Genomic DNA, 22,441 nt, shown 5'->3' with positions numbered 1-22,441 from the left:
TTGTTTCATAAAAACTGGTAAGGAAAAGACTAAAAATAAATACTTCTGAGGCCAGGTGCAGTGGCTCACGCCTGTAATCCCAGCACTTTGGGAGGCCGAGGTCAGCAGATGATGAGGTCAGGAAATCAAGACCATCCTGGCCAACATGGTGAAACCCCGTCTCTACTAAAACACAAAAAATTAGCTGGGTGTGGTGGTGTGTGCCTGTAGTCCCAGATACTTGGGAGGCTGAGGCAGGGGAATCACTTGAACCTGGGAGGCGGAGATTGCAGTGAGCCGAGATCAGGCCACTGCACTCCAGCCTGGGAGACAGAGCAAGATTCCATCTCAAAATAAATAAGTAAATAAATAGATTATTCTGTTAACCTAGAATATTCTCTCCACAAATTCAGAAAATAAAGAAAACAATTTTATTACTGAATAAGCATTAAACCAGACTGTGATGCCCATCACAGGTGATCCATTAATGAGATGCAAAGAGAAATAAACCCTCCTTTTTTTTTTTTTTTTTTTTTTGAGACAAAATCTTGCTCTGTCGCCCAGGCTGGAGTGCAGTGGTGCCATCTCGGCTCACTGCAACCTCTGCCTCCCCAGTTTAAGCGATTCTCCTGCCTCAGCCTCCCAAGTAACTGAGACTACAGGCGCGTGCCACCACACCTGGCTAATTTTTTTGTATTTTTAGTAGAGATGGGGTTTCGTTATGTTAGCTAGGATGGTCTCGAAATCCTGACCTCGTAATTCGCCCGCCTAGGCCTCCCAAAGTGCTGGGATTATAGGCGTGAGCTATGGCGCCCGGCCAAAGCGTCCTTTTTATATAGCCTGGCAGATACAATCCATTGCATACATGCTCTCAAGATAAATAGTAACTCATCCTCATGCAAAAGGACTTGCTATGCAGTTTTTTTTGTTTTGTTTTTTTTGAGACAGGGTCTCATTCTGTCATCCAGGCTGGAGTGTAGTGGTGTGATCTTCTTGGCTCACTGTAACCTCCACCTCCTGGGTTCAAGTGATTCTCGTGCCTAAGCCTCCCAAGTAGCTGGAATTACAGACATGTGCCATCATGCCCAGCTAATATTTGTATTTTAGTAGAGACAGAGTTTCGCCATACTGGCCAGGCTGGACTCAAACTCCTTCTTTCGATTTCTGTGTGGCTTCAAGTGATCCACCCGTCTCGGCCTCCCCCAGAGTGCTGGGATTACAGGTGTGAGCCACCGCGCCTGGCCTGCTATGCATTCTTAAACACTCATCCTAAATTCACCTGGAAATCAACGTGGCCATCCATGCTAGTTAATTACCTGTATCCAATGAAAAAATAAAACTTCTCACATCTCCTTGACAAGCAGGTAGTAACAGCTCAAGGTGCCTAGGCTAAACTCCCTAGGCAACAGGAAGATAGGGACACTATTTTCCTCCAGGTTTACATTTCAAAGACAAGACTCTTAGGCTCTTAAGAAAAAAATTCCTGGATTGTGACCAGGCACGGTGGCTCACGCCCATAATCCCAGCACATTGGGAGGCCGAGGCTGGTGGATCACCTGAGGTCAGGAGTTCAAGACCAGCCAGACCAACAAGGTGAAACCCTGTCTGTACTAAAAATACAAAAATTAGCCAGGCGTGGTGGCAGATGCCTGTAGTCTCAGCTACTCAGGAGGTTGAGATGGGAGAATTGCTTGAACCCAGGAAGTGGAGGTTGCAGTGAGCCGAGATTATACCCCTGCACTCCAGCCTGGGTGACAGCGAGATTCTGTCTCAAAAAAAAAAAAAAAAAATTCCTGGGTTGTAAGGTTGGCAAGAAGTTCATTTACCTTTTTAAAAGATTTAGGTACATATCAAAGGCACAAAAGAAGTTATTTATATTACAAGGTTTATCAAGGAAATACTCTTTAAAAAGGAGAGGAGATAAGGTTAATTTCCCTTTTGGCAAGTAAGACAAATGTAATCTTTTTTTTTTTTTTTTTTTCAGAAAATCCATACAGTGAGGGCTGGGCACGGTGGCCCACATCTGTAGTCCCAGCACTTTGGGAGGCCAAGGCAGGTGGATTACTTGAGGCCAGGAGTTCGAGACCAGCCTGGGGAATATGGCGAAACCCCATCTCTACTACAAATACAAAAATTAGCTGGGTGTGGTGGTGTGTGCCTATTGTCCCAGCTACTCTGGAGGCTGAGGCACGAGAAGTGCTTGAACATGGGAGGCAGAGGTTGCAGTGAGCCGAGATTGAGCCATTACAATCCAGTCTGGGCAACAAGAGTGAAGCTCTGTCTCAAAAAATAAAAAAATAAAAAATAAAAAACAAAAACAAAGAGCCTCTTTTCCCTCTCCCTGCCACAGAGTTGTCTTCAGTAATTTCATTCCCTTTTTTCCTGAGGGTTCACTGGGTTTCTGGGTCCCAGAAGGGGAAGTTCTCTTCAAGGTACAGGAACCACAACTCCACAGAGAACTGCAGAGATGGCAGCATGACCAGACCCTGGCCAGGTTTGGGGAGGCTGCTGGGCTGAGACTTGGGCTGAACTTCCGCTGCAGGTCGACTTATTCCCATCAGCACCAAAGCTGCTAGAGGGGGTCATCCAAAAGCAAAGGAAGCAGGGGCGCAGCTTGGAGGCTGTTTCAGAAGGTCCCACTGAGCCAAGGACTCAAGGCCTGGCCACAGCCCTCCCAAGTGAGGCCCAGATCATATTTCACCATGCTCAGAAAACCTTGTCTGCTCATTTCAGTCCATAGTGATTTTGCTTTCTTTAGGATCTCTCTTGAACTGTCCAACCCAGAGAATTTCAAATCTGAATGGATTCCAATGATGGAGCTAAATCAGGCCCCACCTCAGTTTCTGAATTACAATCAATAGGGCTGGGTCCCAGCATCTGTATCTTAATGTTCCTCCATGTGATCCTCATGCTGAAAGGCTGGTATTTGCAAATCCCTTTTTTTGGGGAGTGAAGGGTTTTTTTTTTTTAGAGAGAGGCCTCACTCTGATGCCCAGCCTGGAATGCAGTGGTGGATTACAGCTCACTGCAGCCTTGAACCCCTGGCCGCAAGAAATCCTCCCACCTTAGCCAACCAAAGTGTTGGGATTGCAGGAGTGACCACTGTGTCTGGCCAGGAAAGCCCTTCCGTTTCACTTGAATGATATTTCTGCAGCATACCTACAGCCATTGTTGTATGCAACTGCATCACTGCGGGAAAAGAAAAGGTGAGAGGTGACTGTTTTGCTTTTTTCTGAACATATCAGACCAAACCTGGGCTGTTTAGCCATTTTTTTTTTTTTTTTTTTTTTTTTTTGCGATGGTGTCTCGCTCTGTCACCCAGGCTGGAGTGCAGTGATGCAATCTTGGCTCACTGCAACCTCTGACTTCCAGGTTCAAGTGATTCTCCTGCCTCAGCCTCCCAAGTAGCTGGGATTACAGATGTGCACCCCCACGCCCAGCTCATTTTTTCTGTATTTTTAGTAGAGATGGATTTAAACATGTTGGACAGGCTGGTCTCGAACTTCTGACCTCTGGTGATCTGTCTGCCTCTGCTTCTTAAAGTGGTAGGATTACAGGCATGAGCCACCGCGCCTGGTTTGCCAATTTTTTGACAATGTATCGACATCATTTGTGATGGGCATGGCCTCAGTGTAGTGTGTCTAGACAAGGTGGCCGGAAGAGAGAGGAATATGCAAACCAGGCTTGAAGATGGGTTAAATCAGAGCTTTTCATTCCACAAAAGAGAAATTTTAATGGGGTCAGAACATTGATCTTCTAATATTTGAAAGCCTGTTAACTAGGAGAGAGAGAGCAAACTATTTTGTTGTAGGAGGACCCACCCAGCTCTGACGGTTTAAAGCGTCATGAATGCGAATTTGAACTCCAGAAAAGCAGAGCTTCCTAACAATGGGACTTCCACAGCAATGGGATCTGCTTCCTCTTTCAGTTTGTGCCTTTTCTATGAGCGAGAGACTCCTAGGAAAGCAGCAGCCCATTAGGAAAACGTGTGGGAACTCACTCGCAGGTTCTTTATTTTTTTTGAGATGGAGTTTTGCTCTTGTTGCCCAGGCTGGAGCACAATGGTGCCATCTTGGCTCCCTGCAACCTGCGCACCATGAGTTCAAGTGATTCTCCAGCGCCCTCTCCTGAGTAGCTGCGATTACAGGCATCCACCACCATGCCTGGCTAATTTTTTGTATTTTTAGTAGAGATGGGGTTTCACCATGTTGTCCAGGCTGGTCTCAAACTCCTGACCTCAAGTGATCCACCCACTTTGGCCTCCCAAAGTGCTGGGATTACAGGCATGAGCCACTGAGCCCAGCCGGGAACCCACAGGTTTTTTGGATGGTCTCTGAATGTCATGTAACTCTTTTATTTTTTATCAAAAAAAATTTTTTTGACACAGTATCTTGCTGTGTTGCCCAGACTGGAGTGCAGTGGCAAGATCACGGCTCACTGCAGCTTCTAACTCCTGGGCTCAAGTGATCTTCCTGTCACATGAGTCTCCCAAGTAGTTGGAACACAGGTGCCAGCCACCACACCTGGCTAATTTGGTTTGGTTTTGTTTTTTTAGAGATGGGCTCTTGCTATGTTGCCTATACTGGTCTCGAACTGCTGGCCTCAGGCAATCTTCCTCCCTTGGCCACCCAAAGTGCTGGGATTACAAGCATGAGCCACTGTGCACAGCTGAAATTTTTTGACTTAGTCTTTTTGTACATGTGATATTTTATTCATAGAATCCATAAATGGAAGGGAAATTTCTGAGTTCAGAGCAATACATATGATACAAAACTTGATATATAGACTAGAGTTTCTTAGCCGAACTGGAGGGGCTGGCTTAGGTAATCCATGGATTCCCTGAAACTGGGGACACCATTGGAAATATGTGTGAGCTCAGGGGCAGTTTCCTATGATTTTTAGGCCTCAAAATGTCTCTTGGACTCAAAATTGCCTTAGGGCAGAGGACGTGTGTACCCCCAGTATAGAATCTCGGACAGTGAATGTGAGTAAACATTCGGCAGAAAAGCTCTGCCAAACTGAGTGCTCTGATGTGACTTTTTCATCAAGTCAGTATTCCTGGGATCTCTTGTACGTGATAATCTCACTCTTGTACATGATAATCTCACTCTTGTACATGATACTCTCACTCTTATAAGGTTTCATCGTTTCTGCTTACCCTAGTTTTCTTTCCCACTCTGTTCCCTCTCCCACCAGACTGGACTCTGAAATGGGCATGTACAGAGACGAAGAGACCCCAACATGCTTCAGGCTTTGAGTGGAGAGGACACAGCCTCTGCTGGGACAGGGAATAGAGGGATGTGGAGTCCCTGAAGATGCTTTTGGACAATGGTCTGAGGTTGGGACAGTGGCAGGAGATACCATTCACCCAGGATCTCCAGGACAAGAGATCAGCCTGGCAGTTACATGTGTTTTTTTTCAAACTGGTTGCCAGGTTGGCATGAACGATGACATCAGAGATTCCGACCTTCCTGATTGGAGGGACCGGACTCCGTGGTGCCTGGAGATCAGTTGGACAACAGTATCTTCTCAGAGCTGTTCTCTACTCCTGACTTCTCCTAGGCTTGAGAATTGATAACATACTCTTCTGGATCCTAGAAGTGTCCAGAAGAAGGCCATGGACAGAACGGAGACTAGGTTCCGTAAGAGGGGACAGATTACGGGAAAGATCACGACCAGCCGTCAACCGCACCCCCAGAATGAGCAGAGTCCCCAGCGGAGCACCTCGGGGTACCCCCTCCAGGAGGTGGTGGATGATGAAATGTTGGGACCATCAGGTGAGGGGACTGGTGGAAGAAGAGGTGGGATAGGATTGACTAAGACGAAGGAAGGGGGCCGGGTGCGGTGGCTCACGCCTGTAACCCCAGCACTTTGGGAGGCCGAGGCGGGCGGATCACCTGAGGTCAGGAGATCAAGGCCAGCCTGGCCAATATGGTGAAACCCCATCTCTACTAAAAGTATAAAAATTAGCCAAGTTGTAGTGGTGCACACCTGTAATCCCAGCTACTCAGGAGGCTGAGACAGGAGAATCACTTGAGACTGGGAGGAAGAGGTTGCAGTGAGCTGAGAGCACACTACTGCACTCCAAAAAAAAAAAAAAAGAAAAGAAGGGTCAGTGGTCAGGAAGGAGAACCTGAGGAGGGTGTGTGGGAAGAATGGAGAAATTCAGGCTGGGTGCAGTGGCTCACACCTGTAAGCCCAGAACTTTGGGAGGCCAAGGCAGGCGGATCACTTGAGGCCAGGAGTTTGAGACCAGCCTGGCCAACATGGTGAAACCCTGTCTCTACTAAAAGTACAAAATTGAGCTGGGCATTATGGCAGGCACCTGTAATCCCAGCTACCTGAGAGGCTGAGGCAGAAGAATAAATGGAATCCAGGAGATGGATGTTGCAGTGAGCTGAGATTGCACCACTACACTCCAGCCTGGGTGACAAAGCAAGATTCTGTGTCAAAACAAAACAAAACAAAAAAGGAGGGACTCAGAGAGCCAGGGACCAGGGAAGGACATGAAGCAGTGTTCGGAGGACAGAGAGAGAGAAGAATGGGGAGGGGAAGGAGCGGCACATGGGGTCGAGCAGAGGAGAAAATCAGAAAGATGGCTTAGAGAAGCCAGCAGTCTGCAAGTCTGGGGAGGATGGAGAGTGGTTTGGGGTTTTGGGTCGGGGTCTAAGGTGATCAGATGCAGAAGCATTACACGGTGGCCTGGTTTCTTTACTCAGCCCCTGGGGTAGATCCCAGCCCCCCATGTAGGTCCCTTGGCTGGAAAAGGAAGAGGGAGTGGTCAGATGAATCTGAGGAGGAGCCGGAGAAGGAGCTCGCCCCTGAGCCTGAGGAGACCTGGGTAGTGGAGATGCTGTGTGGGCTCAAGATGAAGCTGAAGCAACAGCGAGTGTCATCCATCCTCCCTGAGCACCACAAGGACTTCAACAGTCAGCTTGGTAGGAGGATACCCCAGAGAGCACCTCCAATCCTGTTCTTTCTAAAAAGAGGAAACTTCCAATAACCACACTTTTCCAATGGGAAAGATACGCCCCCAGTAGCTGAGCTCTCCACGCAGGAGGACTCAGAAGTGATCACTCATGAGGGACACTTAGGAGACGATAGAGGACTAGGCTAGACTTGATAAAGGTTGGCGCTTGGGATGAGAAAGCTTGGTTTCGGGCCAGGTGCAGTGGCTCACGCCTGAGATGCTAGCACGTTGGGAGGCTGAGGCAAGAGGATTGCTTGAACTCAGGACTTTGAGGCTGCAGTGAGCTATGACTGCACCACTGCACTCCAGCCTGGGTGACAGAGCAAAACCCTGTGTCAAAAGAAAAACGAAGGCCGGGTGTGGTAGCTCATGCCTGTAATCCCATTACTTTGGGAGGCTGAGATGGGTGGATCACTTGAGGTCAGTTGTTCGAGACCAACCAGACCAATATAGCGAAACCTCATTTATACTAACAATACAAAAATTAGCCAGGCATGCTTGTTATCCCAGCTACTCAGGAGGCTGAGACAGGATAATCGCTTGAACCCAGGTGGAAGAGGTTGCTTTGAGCCAAGATAGCGCCACTGCATTCCATTCTGGGTGAGAGAGTGAGACGCTGTCTCAAAAAAAAAAAAAAAAAGGAAGGAAGGGCCCAGAAGTCAGGAAGGAGCACATGAGGAGGGTGTGTGGGAAGAATGGAGGTACTGAGGCAGGGTGCAGTGGCTCACACCTGTAATCCCAGCACTTTGGGAGGCCAGGCAGGCAGATCACTTGAGGCCAGGAGTTGGAGACCAGCCTGGCCAACATGGTGAAACCCTGTCTCTTCTAGAAGCACAAAAATGAGCTGGGCGTTCTGGTGGGCACCTGTAATCCCAGCTACTTGGGAGGCTTAGGCAGGAGAATCACTGGAACCCGGGAGGCAGAGGTTGCAGTGAGCCAAGATCGCACCACTACACTCCAGCCTAGGCCACAAAGCAAGACTGTTTCTCAACAACAACAACGACAACAACAACGAAAAAAAAAAAAAAAAAAAGGGACTCAGAGAGCCAGGGACCAGGGAAGGATATGAGGAAGTGTTCTGAGGACAGAAAAACGGGAGAATGGGGAGGAGAAGGAGCGGCACATGGAGCTCAGCAGAGGAGACAGACAGAAGGAAAGATGGCTTGGAGAAGCCAGCAGTCTGCGAGGCTGGGGAGGATGGAGAGTGGTTTGGGGTTTTGGGTCGGGCTCTAGTGTGATCAACTGCAGAAGCATTACACCGTGGCCTGGTTTCTTTACTCAGCCCCTGGGGTAGATCCCAGCCCCCCGCATAGGTCCTTTTGCTGGAAAAGGAAGATGGAGTGGTGGGACGAATCTGAGGAGTCGTTGGAGGAGGAGCCACGGAAGGTGCTCGCCCCTGAGCCTGAGGAGATCTGGGTGGCGGAGATGCTGTGTGGCCTCAAGATGAAGCTGAAGCGACGGCGAGTGTCGCTCGTGCTCCCTGAGCACCACGAGGCCTTCAACAGGCTGCTTGGTAGGAGGACACCCCAGAGAGCACCTCCAATCCTGTTCTTTCCAAAAACAGGAAACTTCCAATAACCACACTTTTCCAATGGGAAAAATAGGCCCCAGTGGGTGAGCTCTCCATGTGGGAGGAATGTGAAGTGATCACTCATGAGGGACACTTAGGAGATGATAAAGGATTAGGTCAACTTGATAAAGGTCAGCGCTTGGGATAAGAAAGCTTGGTTTCGGGCCAGGCGCAGTGGCTCCCGCCTGAGATCCCAGCACGTTGGGAGGCTGAGGCAAGAGGATTGCTTGAACTCAGGACTTTGAGGCTGCAGTGAGCTATGACTACACCACTGCACTCCAGCCTGGGTGACAGAGCAAAACCCTGTCTCAAAAGAAAAACCAAGGCTGGGCACAGTAGCTCATGCATGTAATCCCAGCTACTCGGGAGGCTGAGACAGGAGAATCGCTTAAACCCGGGAGGCAGAGGTTGCAGTGAGCCAAGATCAGGCCACTGCATTCCAGCCTGGCCCACAGAGCAAGACTCTGTCTCAAAATAAATTAATAAATAAATAAAAATAAAAATCAAATAAAGAAAAACAAAATCAATAAACAAAGAAAGTGGTTTCCGCTGTGCCCTCTGAAACTTAATGTCTCTTACTGACTTTTCTAAACCTAAGTGTCTCCATCCATAGTGGGGGATACCAAGGCCATGGTCACACCCTGATGTGACTGTCTCATGAGGAAATGATGGGAATTCCTTTATGACTCTGCAGTGGTCCCTCCGTGTCTGCTGGAGGGGGTCCTGGCTGATTCCCAGCTCTACATCCTGTAGATTCTCACACCCAGGGCCTCCTTCGGCCTCTTCTCAGGGGAGTCTCAGAGCAGGAGCCTCTCTCCCTTGCCCAGTGAAAGTCATTCTCCCCTCTCCCATCCACCTCACCCGCGGCCACAATCCTGAGACTTCCCCCCGGGAGGCACACTTCTCCTCCCTGCCCTGCTGCTCCCACGGAAACCCTGTCCTGCTTCTCACACTGACATCTGCTCTCTAATCACAGAGGATCCTGTCATTAAAAGATTCTTGGCCTGGGACAAAGATCTGAGGGTGTCGGACAAGGTAAGGTTGTTCTCCATGTAACTGTTCCTGTTCCAACGCATGGCTGGGGGGAGGGCGCAGCTTCCAAACCCACAGTTCTCCCTCCACCACCTCCCACCAGATGCTCCTACAGTCTTTTTTTTTTTTTTTTTTTTTTTTTTTGTGTGTGTGTGTGTGTGTGTGTGTGAGACAGAGTCTTGCTCTGTTGCCCAGGCTGGAGGGCTGTGTCTCGATCTTGACTCACTGCAGCCCATGCCTCCTGGGTTCAAGTGATTCTCCTGCCTCAGCCTCCAAGCAGCTGGGATTACAGACATGAACCACCACGCCTGGCTAATTTTTGTGTTTTTAGTAGAAACGGGGTTTTGCCATGTTGGCCAGGTTGGTCCTGAACACCTGACCTCAGGCGATCCACCCGCCTTGGCCTCCCAAAGTGCTGAGATTATAGACGTCAGCCACTGTGCCCGACCAGCTCCCATGGTCTTGAGTCTTGGCACCCACAAATTTTTTTTTTTGTGAGACAGAGTCTAGCTCTGCTCCCCAGGATGGAGTGCAGTGGCATGAACATAGCTCATTGCAGCCTCTAATTCCTGGGCTCAAGCAATCTTCTTTCCTCAGCCTCCTGAGGAGCTGGGACTAGGCACATGCCACCATGCTCAACTAATTTTTGAAATGTTTGTAGAAACAGGGTCTCACTATGTTGCCCAGGTTGTTCTCGAACTGTTGGGCTCACATGATCCTCCTGTCTCCACCTCTCAAAAAGTACTGGGATCACAGGCTTGAGCCGCCACTCCCGGCTATTCTTGGTCTTTTTATGATTTGTCAGCATCTCCCTCAGGATTCTGCTGGTCTCTTGCAGAGTGAATGAGTGGCCCCTGCCTCTCCTATGGGTCCTTTGGGATCTGAGCTCTGGGCCACAGTCTGGCCGCAGCCCTGAAGCTCCTGGCCCCTCTACTCTCAGCTCTTCGGGACAGTTCTCTGCCTGGCACACAAAAGACCCTCCTGACACCAGCCGACCTAGACACACCCCCTCCAAAGATCCCATCGGAGCCCACCATCCTGGGAGCATCACCCAAAACCCTTCCTCTGGCTTCTCGGATTTGCATCCGACCTTCGAATACCCCTCCATCCCGCAATTTCCAAATGAGTAGTCACCCCAACACTGAGGTCCCTTCTCTGATGGGCAGCCCCTCCCCAGACCCTCATTCCCCCTCTCCACAATCTTCCTCTTCCAAGATGTGACCTCTCCCTCTCTGTGTTCCTTTCTCTCCATCAGTATCTCCTGGCTATGGTCATAGCGTATTTCAGCCGGGCTGGCTTCCCCTCCTGGCAATACCAACGCATTCATTTCTTCCTGGCTCTGTGAGTGGTTTGCTGCCTCCTATCCGTCAATATCCAATGCCCTGGGACAGCGGGGGAAGTGGGATTCCAGCCTTTCATTTATTCTTTCACCTATTTGTCCTCTTTACTCTGTGTACAAAAAAGAGAGGATTATACTATCATAGACTGTTGTTTCTAAACAGAAACTCAGGCTGGGCACAGTGGAATACGCCTGTAATCCCAGCACTTTGGGAGGCCGAGGCAGGCGGATCACCTGAGGTCAGCAGTTCGAGACCAGCCTGGCCAACATGGCCAAATCCCGTCTCTACTAAAAATAGAAAAATTAGCTGGGCGTGGTGGTGTGCATCTGTAATCCCAGCTACTCGGGAGGCTGAGGCAAGAGAACCCTTTGAACCCAGGAGGTGGAGGTTGCAGTAAGCTAAGGTCGAGCCACTGTACTCCAGCCTGGGTGACAGAGTGAGACTTTTTCTCAAAAAAAAAAAAAAAAAAAAAAAAAAAAGCCAAAAAAACAAACTCCAATGCCAGTGTACAAATAAAAGAATAAAACAAAAGGAACCATAAACCGCTCCTAAGGGGAAAAGAAAAGGAGTGGAGGAGCGGACATGCCGCTTCCTCCAGCAAGCAGACGTTTCTGGTTCTTCTCTCTCTCTCCTTCCCACATCAACCACAAACGCCATCGACCTCCTCTGGGTTCCCATGACAGAGGCCACAGTTCAGGTCCCCCTCGCATCACTCGAATTTACTGTCAAATGCTCCCCGCTGGGGTCTCCTGGAGTCTCTCCCCAAGCCAGGGGGCTTCCTAGTGCAGCCTGAACATCTTTCCAAAGCACGACAACCTCACTGCCCACCTGAACAACTTCCTTAGCTGATGCCTTTCTCTATCGAGGCCAGGGTCCACAGTGTCAATTCTACCCTCTCTACAATCTCTACAAGCACACTGGCTCGCCATCTTGGTATTTCCTGGCTCGGCTTCACTGCTCCTTCCAAATGCCCTCCACTCGACTTTGTGTTTGTGTTTTCTGTCTGGGTGTCCCGCACACATGTGGCTCTGAAGGGAAGGACCCATTCCTTGAAATCAGTTCACCCCACAGCCTCTGTGATGCCTTCCCTCATCTTCCAACTTCTGCATGCCCGTAGCTCTCTAGTTACATCCTGGACACTGGGATTAGGTCATCTGCCTTGATTACTCCCAGTCCCATTAGACTAAATGCCTGTAGAAGGCAGGGTCCTGGCAAAATATCAATGTATTCAATTTCTTTTATTTTTTTGAGACAGACTTGCCCTGTCCCCCAAGCTGGAGTGCAGTGGTGAGATCATAGCTCACCGCAGCCTCCATATCCTGGGCTCAAGCGATCCTCCCACCTCAGCTTCTTTATTAGCTCCGACTACAGGGCTGTGCCACCACACCTGGACAGTTTGTTTGTTTGTTTGTTTATTGAGACAGAGTCTTGTTCTGCCTCTCAGGCTGGAATGGAGTGGCCCAATCTCAACTCACTGCAACCTCCGCCTCCTGGGTTCACACAATTCTTGTGCTTCAGCCTCCTGAGTAGCTAGGCCTAACGGGTGTGCCACCGCACCAGGCTCATTTTTGTATTTTTAGTAGAGATGGGGTTTCTCCGTGTTGACCAGGCTGGTCTCCAACTCCTGGTCTCAAGCGATCCACCTGCTTCAGCCTTCTAAAGTGCTGGGATTACAGGCATGAGCCACCGCGTCTGCATATTTCTTACATTTTTAATAGAGACGAGGGTCTTGCTATGTTGCCCAGGCCCGTCTCAAACTCCTGGCCTCAAGTGATCCTCCTGCTTTGGCCTCCCAGTGTGCTGGGATTCCAGGCGTAAGCCACCACTCTCGGCCACCAGTTGGGTTTTTGTCTCCATCCTGAAGGAGTGGGAGACGCCCTTGATCAGGTCTCTGTCCAGCAGAGCCCTCCTGAGGAAGGCATGGCTCTCTGCAGGGTGGGTGCCAGTCCTGAGCTAGGGACGGTCCCTTACCTTCCTCTCTGGGAAGCTGACCTCAGCCGGAGGCCTCTCCTGGTGGTGCCCCTGAGCAGCAACCTGATTTCTGTCCTCAGCTACCTGGCCAATGACATGGAGGAGGACGACGAGGACTCCAAACAAAACATCTTCCACTTCCTGTATAGGAAGAACCGCTCTCGCATACCCTTGCTCCGTAAGCGTTGGTTCCAGTTAGGCCATTCCATGAACCCGAGGGCCAGGAAGAACCGCTCTCGCATACCCTTGCTCCGTAAGCGTCGGTTCCAGTTATACCGTTCCACGAACCCGAGGGCCAGGAAGAACCGCTCTCGCATACCCTTGCTCCGTAAGCATCGGTTCCAGTTATACCGTTCCATGAACTCGAGGGCCAGGAAGAACCGCTCTCAGATAGTCCTGTTCCAGAAACGACGGTTCCACTTCTTCTGTTCCATGAGCTGCAGGGCTTGGGTTTCCCCAGAGGAGTTGGAGGAGGTGAGTGGGGCCTGGGGAGGTGGAGGAGGTGGGGAGGAATTGGGTGGGCTGGAGGCTGGATGAGGGGAGAGAGGGGTATCCTGGCGAGTCCCCGTCTTCTCAAAGGGCGTTTGTTTTTCCAGATCCAGGCTTATGACCCAGAGCACTGGGTGTGGGCGCGAGATCGCGCTCACCTTTCCTAGAGCTCCAGGGACCGGGGAGGCCTGAGGTCATCGGCCTGAGAGAAGGTACATCTGCATCCTCTGGGGTAAAGGCAGAATATTGGGGTCTATTTCGGAAATCCGAAGAACCCAATTGCTTGATCTGGCTTCAAGCCTGGGCAACGTGGCGAGATCCCCTCTCCACAAAAATACAAAAATTAGCCAGGCGATGTGGGACGCATCTCTACTCCCAACTACTCAGGAGGCTGAGGCGGGAGGATCGCTGGAGCCTGGAAGGTCGGGGCCGCACGGAGCCCTGATCCTGCCACTGCACTCCAGTCTGGGCGACAGAGTGAGACCCTGCCTCAAAAATAATCATAAAAACTGAGTTTGGGGAGGTTCATTATGATTGACGCACTTGAGTTACTGATTTGGGTCGAGGGTTCAGTGAAGCTTTGGTTTACATCTTGTGCAGCTAACCACGTTGAGCACAGAGCATGAGACTTCATCATGAGGAGGTAGGATTAAGGATTAGGCTTCTGGACTCGTGGTTCGTGATGTTGTCACATTAGAAACACATCTAGCATGGTTACAAGTTTAGATCTTAAGTGACACAAAAGGCCCCAGCTGTGATAAAGTCCAAAGCCACATTCTCTGAGGGTGCCCTACTCCCTGGGCAGACCCACCCAAAGTCCTTGGTATGAAGCAGATCACTGGGGCTGACCTTGGGTGTATTAAGTGAGTTTTGGAGTCGTGGTCACCAAAGTGTGAGTTTCACAGTTGAACACGATGGTTCAGAAGCAGGGTATAGAATGAAAGGCAGCAGATAAAATTGCATTTCTCAATTGACATGGGACGTGAATAACTTTCCTGTCTAGAGAGCTGCCTCCTTGAAGTGTGACATTGTCTCTCTCGCTTCCAGAACACCGGACCCAGGGGAGATGTGGATTTTCAGCAGGAACTTTATTCCAATGCTAATGGCAGACACCAGGCAGGAGGAGAGGAACCATTTGTGCAGATCATCTAGAAGAACCTGGACCATTCTTGATGGAGCTGAATACAGTGATCACGTTGTCCTCCTAGGAGCAGGGGTGGGGGGAGGGGGGTGGGGTCCTTCTAGGAGTCCTTGGAGAAAAGTAAGAAACCAGGAGCGTTTCCAGTTCCACCCTTTCCTGCGGCACCACCACCCTTTTTATATTGCTGAATTCCAACCTCCCTGGGGCGGAACCTGGAGGTCCTGTTTCTTACGGACTTGCAGTCCAGGAGGATTTGAAGGCACAATGCAGGGGCTCAGATTGGGACAGAATTCTTTTGTGAAATATCAGTGCCACAGATTGTAACAGATAGCTTCATGCACACTCTGCATTTTATTGGTTTGTTTGGAAAATGTCGGCCATTGAATTATTCATAGATTTATTTCAAATAGTTTGGAAATTGTTGTACTTTTGAAAACATGCTGTTCCTGTAGTTTTTTGATGAGAGTTATAGTTGTTATATATACATAAAGCTAATTTTCTTTTCATTTTTAAGAGACAATTCTTTTATCCTAAATATTTTATTATCTTTAAATTTGTTTCTGTATTATTATATGTGCTCCTGAAGCGAGCACTCTTTTTATCTATGATACTTCCATAATAATCTCTTCTATTTATAGCTATTGGTAGTTCCCCACCAGAAAAATACATAATTCTGGTGATAGAAATTTTTATTTGCTGTTTAGGTTTGTGACTGAATTGTGAGAATTCAGTTGTGATTTTTAACATGTCTCAGATATATATACTAACACGTCTAATATATACTATCTATTTTATTGGTTTATTTTGAAAAACATGGGTATAGAATTATTTAAATATTATTTTATTTATTTAAATATTTATTAAATATATTTATTTATTTAAATATTATTTTTACATTAAATATTATTTTAAATATTTTGGAAATACTGGTATTTTTGAATAGATGCTGTTTCTACAAAGCTGTGTGATGGGTATTATAACTGTTATATACACATACATATAATTTTGTTTTCCTTTTTAAGAGAGGATTCTTTTCATCCTAAATCTTTTACCTTTCAATCTTTGTATCTATTATTACACGTGCTGCTGAAGGGAGCATGGATTTTATCTATGATACTTAGTTAACATATATATTACATTTATAGCTATGTAGTAGTTCCCCTAAATTCTTGTAAAAATAAATTTTTATTTGATATTTCATATATGTTTGAAATGTGAGAATTCAGATGTAATTTTTTACCTTGTTTTGGCATGTTTGTATATTACTTTAAAGAGAATGTGTGTTCTAAAGGAGGACATGAGCTGTGTGTTTTCAAGAGAACAATAGAGTGGGTCTCTTGGGGAAACATAATAAAAATGAACTTTTCTCACCTTCACAGCAATTGTGATCATATTGGTCTGGATTGATTATTTGCTGCCCAGTGATATTTTTCCTTAATGGGGTTGTGGTTATTTGAACATATTTATTAGCTCTGGAAGATAATCCTGTGCTGTTTTTTATGTAGAAAAAAACATAAGGCTGGGTGCAGTGCTCACACCTACAATCCCTGCGGTTTTGGAGGTCATGGTGGGAGGATCACCTGAGGCCAGGAGTTTGAGGCCAGCCTCAGCAACATAGCATCTACATCTATTTTTAATTTTTATTTTTTAAAGAAAAACAATAGAAGAGAAGGCTGATCCCAAGCTACAGGGTTTTTTTGTTTGTTTGTTTGTTTTGGAGACAGAGTCTTGCTCTGTCTCCCAGGCTGGAGTGCAGTGGCACAACCTCGGCTCCCTGCAACTTTCACCTCTGGGTTCAAACAAATTCTCCTGCCTCAGCCTCCCAAGTAGCTGGGACTACAGGCACCCGTCTGTACGTCCGACTAACTTTTGTAAAAATAGTAGAGACAAGGTTTCACCATGTTGGCCAGGCTGGTCTCGAACTCCTGACTTCAAGTGATCCACCTACCTCGGCCTCCCAAAGTGCTGGGATTACAGGCATGAGCTACTGCGCCCAGATGCCAAGCTAGAGTTTTAAGGCAGGAAATGAGAGAAAGATATTGAGAGAGGAAAACCAGGTGGTAAGAAAACTCTAAAGGTGGCCGGGCGTGGTGGCTCACGCCCATGATCCCAGCAGGAGTTTGAGACCAGCCTGGCCAACATGGTGAAACCCTGTCTCTACTAAAAATACAAAAATTAGGCAGGCGTGGTGGTGCACGCCTATAATCCCAGCTATTTGGGAGGCTGAGGCAGGAGAATCACTAGCAGAGATTGTGTCTCCTCACACCCTCTCAAAAAAAAAAAAAAAAAAAAAGTTCGTTCCTGCAGCAGTTAAAGCTGTGAAAGACAGGCACTCTGACATGCAATTCTTTGTGATTTTTCTTTTTCCTTTTTGGAGTTGGGGTCTTGCGCTGTCACCCAGACTGGGGTGCAGTGGTGTGGTCATAGCTCACTGCGGCCTCAGACTCAAGCTCAAGCGATCTTCTTACCTTGCCTTTCAAATTGCTGGGATTATAAGCATGAGCCACTGCATCTGGCCTGAGACACAATTCTGTTTTTGGTCTTTTTTTTTTTGGGGGGGGGATGGAGTCTCGCTCTGTCACCCAGGCTGGAGTGCGGTGGCGTGATCTTGGCTCAATGCAAGCTCCGCCTCCTGGGTTCACGCCATTCTCCTGCCTCAGCCTCCCAAGTAGCTGGGACTACAGGCGCCCGCCACCATGCCTGGCTAATTTTTTGTATTTTTAGTAGAGACGGGATTTCACTGTCTTAGCCAGGATGGTCTCGATCTCCTGACCTCGTGATCTGCCCGCCTTGGCCTCCCAAAGTGCTAGGATTACAGGTGTGAGCCACCGCGCCCAGCCTATGTGATGCAATTCTGATGTCAACTCCCTGATGTTACCTCAAATGCCACAGGTTAAGGCCACCAGCCCCTACTAGGCTGCCCTCGCTTTAGACACACCTGCAGGCTTGGGTGTCCTCAGACCACATGTACTTCTCACCAACTGGCTGCAAATTTGGAGGTTCCCACCATGCCCTCAAGTTCGATAACTCACTAAAACAATTCACAGAATGCAGAAAAGCATGATACTTTCTTTCTCTTTTTTTTTTTTTTTTTTTTTTCGAGACAGAGTCTTGCTCTGTCGCCCAGGCTGGAGTACAGTGGCCACCATGCTTGGCTAATTTTTGTATTTGTATTAGAGACGGGGTTTCGCCATGTTGGCCAGGCTGGTCTTGAACTCCTGACCTCAGGTGATCCACCCGCCTTGGCATCCCAAAATGCTGGGATTATAGGCATAGCCACCATGCCCGGTTGACTTCTAGAGTTTCAATAACAGAGAAGTGATTCAAGAAGGGAGACATGTTTTGTAGATGGCAGGAGCTTCATGAAAAGAAGCCAATGAAGGGCAGGACGTGTAGCTGTCTACCTACAGGAAACCAGCCAGGAGCCTCCCCACAGGGACTTCAGCACAGATGGCCGGGAAAATCTGCATTCACCTGAGCTCTGGACCTAAGAGAGGACAAGGCCTTGACCATTTCTACAGACTCACAAGATGCAATCTCTGTGGTCCATGCCCGTGGTGTGATCTGGGAAGCAGGGGGCCTTCTAAATGCCAACAACAAGGAAATCAAATGTGCAACAAACAGAAATAACGGCATTGACGTGGGCCATGGAAAGGCCTAAACAGATGACTGCAGTTCACTGCCAAGGTCATCAAAGGGGTGACTCTGAAATAATAAATTTCAGACGCCACGGCCCAAATAGCTGCACGAGGTGGGGAAGTCCTCCACATGCCTCTGCTTCCTTCGGTACCTGTTTATGAAATCAGCCGAGGTACTTCCCTGGGGAATTTCCTTTCTCTTTCTTTCTTTCGAGACGGAGTCTTGCTCTGTCGCCCAGGCTAGAGTGCAGTGGTGCAATCTCAGCTCAATATAACCTCCCCCTCCTGGGTTTTAGCAATTCTCCTGCATCAGACTTCTGAGTAGCTGAGATTACAGGTGCATGCCACCATGCCCAGCTAATATTTGTATTTTTAGTAGAGACAGGGTTTCACCATCTAGGCCAGGCTGGTCTTGAACTCCTGACCTCGTGATCCACCCGTCTTGGCCTCTCAAAGTGCTGGGATTACAGGTGTGAGCCATCACGCCCGGACTTTTTTTTTTATTTTTTGAGACGACGTTTCACTCTTGTTGCCCACGCTGGAGTGCAATGGCACGATCTCAGCTCACTGCCACCTCCTCCTCCCAGGTTCAAGCGATTATCCTGCCTCAGCCTCTCGAGTAGCTGGGATTACAGGCACCCAACACCAAACCCAGCTAACTTATTGTATTTTTAGTAGAGATGGGATGTCACCATGTTGGCCAGGATGGTCTTGAACCCCTGACCTCTAATGATCCACCTGAATTGGTTTCCCAAAATGTTGGGATTACAGGCACAAGCCACTGCGCCCAGCCCCTCCCACACCTCTTTTGGCCAAGGCAGCACAATTCAGAAGAATCTTGCCAGGGAAGACTGGTAAATGGACGTCAACGTGATGCCTATGGCTCCTGGTGGATTTAGATACCTCCTGGTGCTTATTGATATCTTTACTACCAGTTGCATGGGGGCTTTTCCATGCCAGACTGAAAACGCAGGAGATCAATGATCAACCTTCAACTATTTACTAGCAGAACACTGAGGGGACTGTGCAGTCACCAATACCTCCTATTGCACTTGGATAAACACCTCCCAGGAAATAGAGATGAATAGAAAGGACATAGTCAAACAAGCAGAATGGCTGCATTCCTTCAACCAGAAGGGTCCATTAGTCTGTTTTCACACTGCTATAAAGAACTATGAGAAACTGGGTAATTTATGAAGAAAAGAGGTTTAATTGACTCACAGTTCTGCAGGCTGTACAGGAAGCGTGGCTGGGGAGGCCTCAGGAAACTGACAATCACGGCAGAAGGCGAAGGGGAAGCAGGCACGTCTGGCCATGTTGGAGCAGGAGAGACAGAGAGAGTGAAGTGGGAGGGCTGCACGCTTTTAAACAACCAGATCCCACAAGCGCTCACTCAATATCACGAGAACAGCAAGGGGGAAGTCGGCCCCCATGAGCCAATCACCTCCCACCAGGTCCCTCCCACAACACTGGGAATTACAATTTGACATGAGATTTGGGTGTGGATACAGAGCTGAACCATGTCAAGGGTAGTTCAACCGCTGAGATTGATTGATTGATTGATTGACTGAGATGGAGTCCTGCTCTGTTACCTAGGCTGGAGTGCAGTGGCACAATCTCGGCTCACTGCAACCTCCGCCTCCCGGGTTCAAGCGATTCTCCTGCCTCAGCCTCCCGAGTAGCTGGGACTACAGCACATGCCACCATGCCTAGCTAATTTTTGTATTTTTAGTAGAGACAGGGCTTCACCATGTTTGCCAGGCTGGTCTTGAACTCCTGACCTCGTGATCACCCTGCCTCGGCTTTTCTTTTGCTGGAATTACAGGTGTGAGCCACCGCACCCAGCCAACAACTGAGATTTAGAAGGCAGTCGAGTCCACTATACCGCACCTCACCTGGTTTCTTCCTCTGTTGGGGCCCCTCGTGGCCACTGTTCTGTTACTTTTTGGTCCTATTTATTTAAATGGATGGTGAGCTGTTTGTTCTCCAGGATCCAACACTTCCACCTTCAGCTTGTATTACAACAATACCAGCCTTTCAAGCTACTCCGGGTGACCCCAGAACTCATTTGAACTCAGAAGCCCAGGAGTTTCATTCCTTTCACTTTAGGGGACTCAGTGCCCTGCTCAGCATGAAGTCGAAGCAGAAGCATGACCTCCATCCCTAATCCCTCAAGAATGAGGAGTGGAAGGTGTTGGCAGAAGGGTGGGGGTGAGGTTTGTAGATCTGTAACTGCATCAGACCAAATCTGGTTCAACTTTTTTTTTTTTTTTGACGGAGTTTCACTCTTGTCACCCAGGCTGGAGTGCAATGGTACTAACTCAGCTCACTGCAACCTCCACCTCCTAGGTTCAAGTGATTCTGCTGCCTCAGCCTCCAGATAGCTGGGATTATAAGGGTGCACCACCACACCTGGCTAACATTTATATTTTTAGTAGAGACGGGGTTTTACCATTTTGGCCAGGCTGGTCTTGAAGTCCTGACCTCCACCTGCCTTGGCCTCCCAAAGTGCTGGGATTACAGGCGTGAGTCACTGCACCCGGCTCAGTTCAACTTTTATGTAATGAGGTTGTCAGTTGTTTTTCAATTGCCATGGACCCACAGGTTGAAGGGCATGTACCCTGTGCATGCCCAGGTTAACCAAGCATGCAACCACGGAGTGGAACCTAAGAGCTCGGCCTGAAGAGCTGAGACTGATTTAAGAACTGGACACTCCATGGCAGGAGCCAGGATCCAATCAGATTGAGTTTTGGTGTCATCCCATGGCAGGATCCAGTCAGATCACACCTCCCAGCATTACTTTATTGCAAGATCCAATCAAATCACAACTCATTACCCTATGCTTATAAAACCTGACATAGCCCCCAGCTGGGTAAGGGAGATTTGAGTATTTCTTCCTGTGTTCTTGCTAGCTGACTTACAAAAAAGCTTTAAAAAAAAGGCCACGTGTGGTGGCTCATGCCTGTAATCCCAGCACTTTGGGAGGCTGAGGCAGGCAGATCACTTGAGGTCAGGGGTGCAAGACCAGCCTGGCCAACATGGTGAAACCCTATCTCTACTAAAAATACAAAAATTAGCTGGTCATGGTGACACATACCTATAATCCCAGCTACTTGGGAGACTGAGGCAGGAGAATCACTTGAACCCAGGAGGTAGAGGTTGCAGTGAGCCAAGATCACACCACTGCACTCCAGCCTGGGCAACAGAGTGAGAAGACTCTGTCTAAAAAAAGAACAGTTAAAATTAGCACCAAATGCTTTACGAGTAAAAAAAGTTTTTAGCTGCATATGTTTAAGTAACTTTTTAGATTGTAAAAAATACACATACAAAATGGAAAGGCACAAAGAAGAGAGCAAAAAGTGCATGAGATCTCACATCCAAGGATAACCGCTGAGAACATGAAAGTGCTGACTCTTCCAGCCTTTATACTATACACATTTAGGCCGTTGTTTTGTTTTTATTAAACTGTAATCATATAATACAGATAGTTTTATAATCTGGTTTTTAAACACAACAATTACATAACATTTAGCTGTTTCTTTTGCATTCAGATTCATAAGGGTTCCAGTAACTCATTTATCAGAAAACCAAGAGAAATAGTCTCATTAAAATATAAGTACATAAGGCAGGCATGGTTGCTCACGCCTATAATCCCAGCACTTTGAGAGGCCGAGGTGGGCGGATCACCTGAGGTCAGGAATTCGAGACCAGCCTGGCCAGCCTGGACAACATGGTGAAACCCCGTCTCTGCTAAAAATAAACAAATGAGCCAGGTGTGGTGGTGCGCGCCTGTAATCCCAGCTATTCAGAAGGCTGAGGCAGGTGAATCGCTTAAACTCGGGAGGTGGAGGTTGCAGTGAATCGAGATCGTGCCACTGCACTCCAGCCAGGGCGCCAAAGTGAGACTCCATCTCAAAAAAAGATAAAAATAAAAAATAAAAATAAAATATATATATGTATATATATTTTTCCAGACAGGGTCTTACTCTGTCTCCCAGTCTGAAATACAGTGGTGCAATCATAGCTCACTGCAGCCTCAAGTTTCTGGGCTCAAGTGAATCTCCCACTTCAGCTTCCCAAGTAGCTGGAACTACAGGTGGATGCCACCATGCCCAGTCAATTTTTTTTTTAATTTTTCATAGAAACAGAGTCTCACTATGTTGCCCAGTCCTAATAAACACTATGTGATGAAAAGAAAAAAGTAAATCACCCTAAGTTAAGTCTTTAATGTTAAGTCTTTAACGAGAAATGCAAATAAAGCATTTCTCAATAGATTATGGCAAGAGTATCAACTGAAGAATAAACATCTTT

The 22,441-nt window shown here is 48.0% G+C and overlaps 1 protein-coding gene across 4 annotated transcripts; it reads left to right on the top strand.

Moving 5' to 3' along the window:
* The first annotated feature begins 5,175 nt into the window (after positions 1-5,175).
* Positions 5,176-15,874, top strand: SPDYE6 (speedy/RINGO cell cycle regulator family member E6). Of its 4 annotated transcripts, NM_001146210.4 has the most exons (8): positions 5,176-5,756; positions 6,699-6,917; positions 8,232-8,462; positions 9,496-9,554; positions 10,807-10,892; positions 12,943-13,336; positions 13,459-13,563; positions 14,399-15,874. In NM_001146210.4, exons 1-7 carry the CDS (start codon positions 5,597-5,599, stop codon positions 13,516-13,518), a joined length of 1,209 nt encoding a protein of 402 aa, NP_001139682.2. In that variant the 5' UTR covers positions 5,176-5,596; the 3' UTR covers positions 13,519-13,563; positions 14,399-15,874. The 4 variants fall into 4 exon arrangements, with proteins under 4 accessions (NP_001139682.2, XP_047276750.1, XP_047276749.1 ...); XM_047420794.1 differs by having other exon boundaries at positions 13,459-15,150; XM_047420793.1 differs by having other exon boundaries at positions 12,943-15,150.

This window comes from Homo sapiens, chromosome 7, assembly GCF_000001405.40.
Source record: "Homo sapiens chromosome 7, GRCh38.p14 Primary Assembly".
In the NCBI taxonomy this organism is placed as follows: Eukaryota; Metazoa; Chordata; class Mammalia; order Primates; family Hominidae; genus Homo; species Homo sapiens.
Note: the sequence above shows the minus strand (reverse complement) of the source record. Positions and strands in the feature narration are given on the sequence as shown.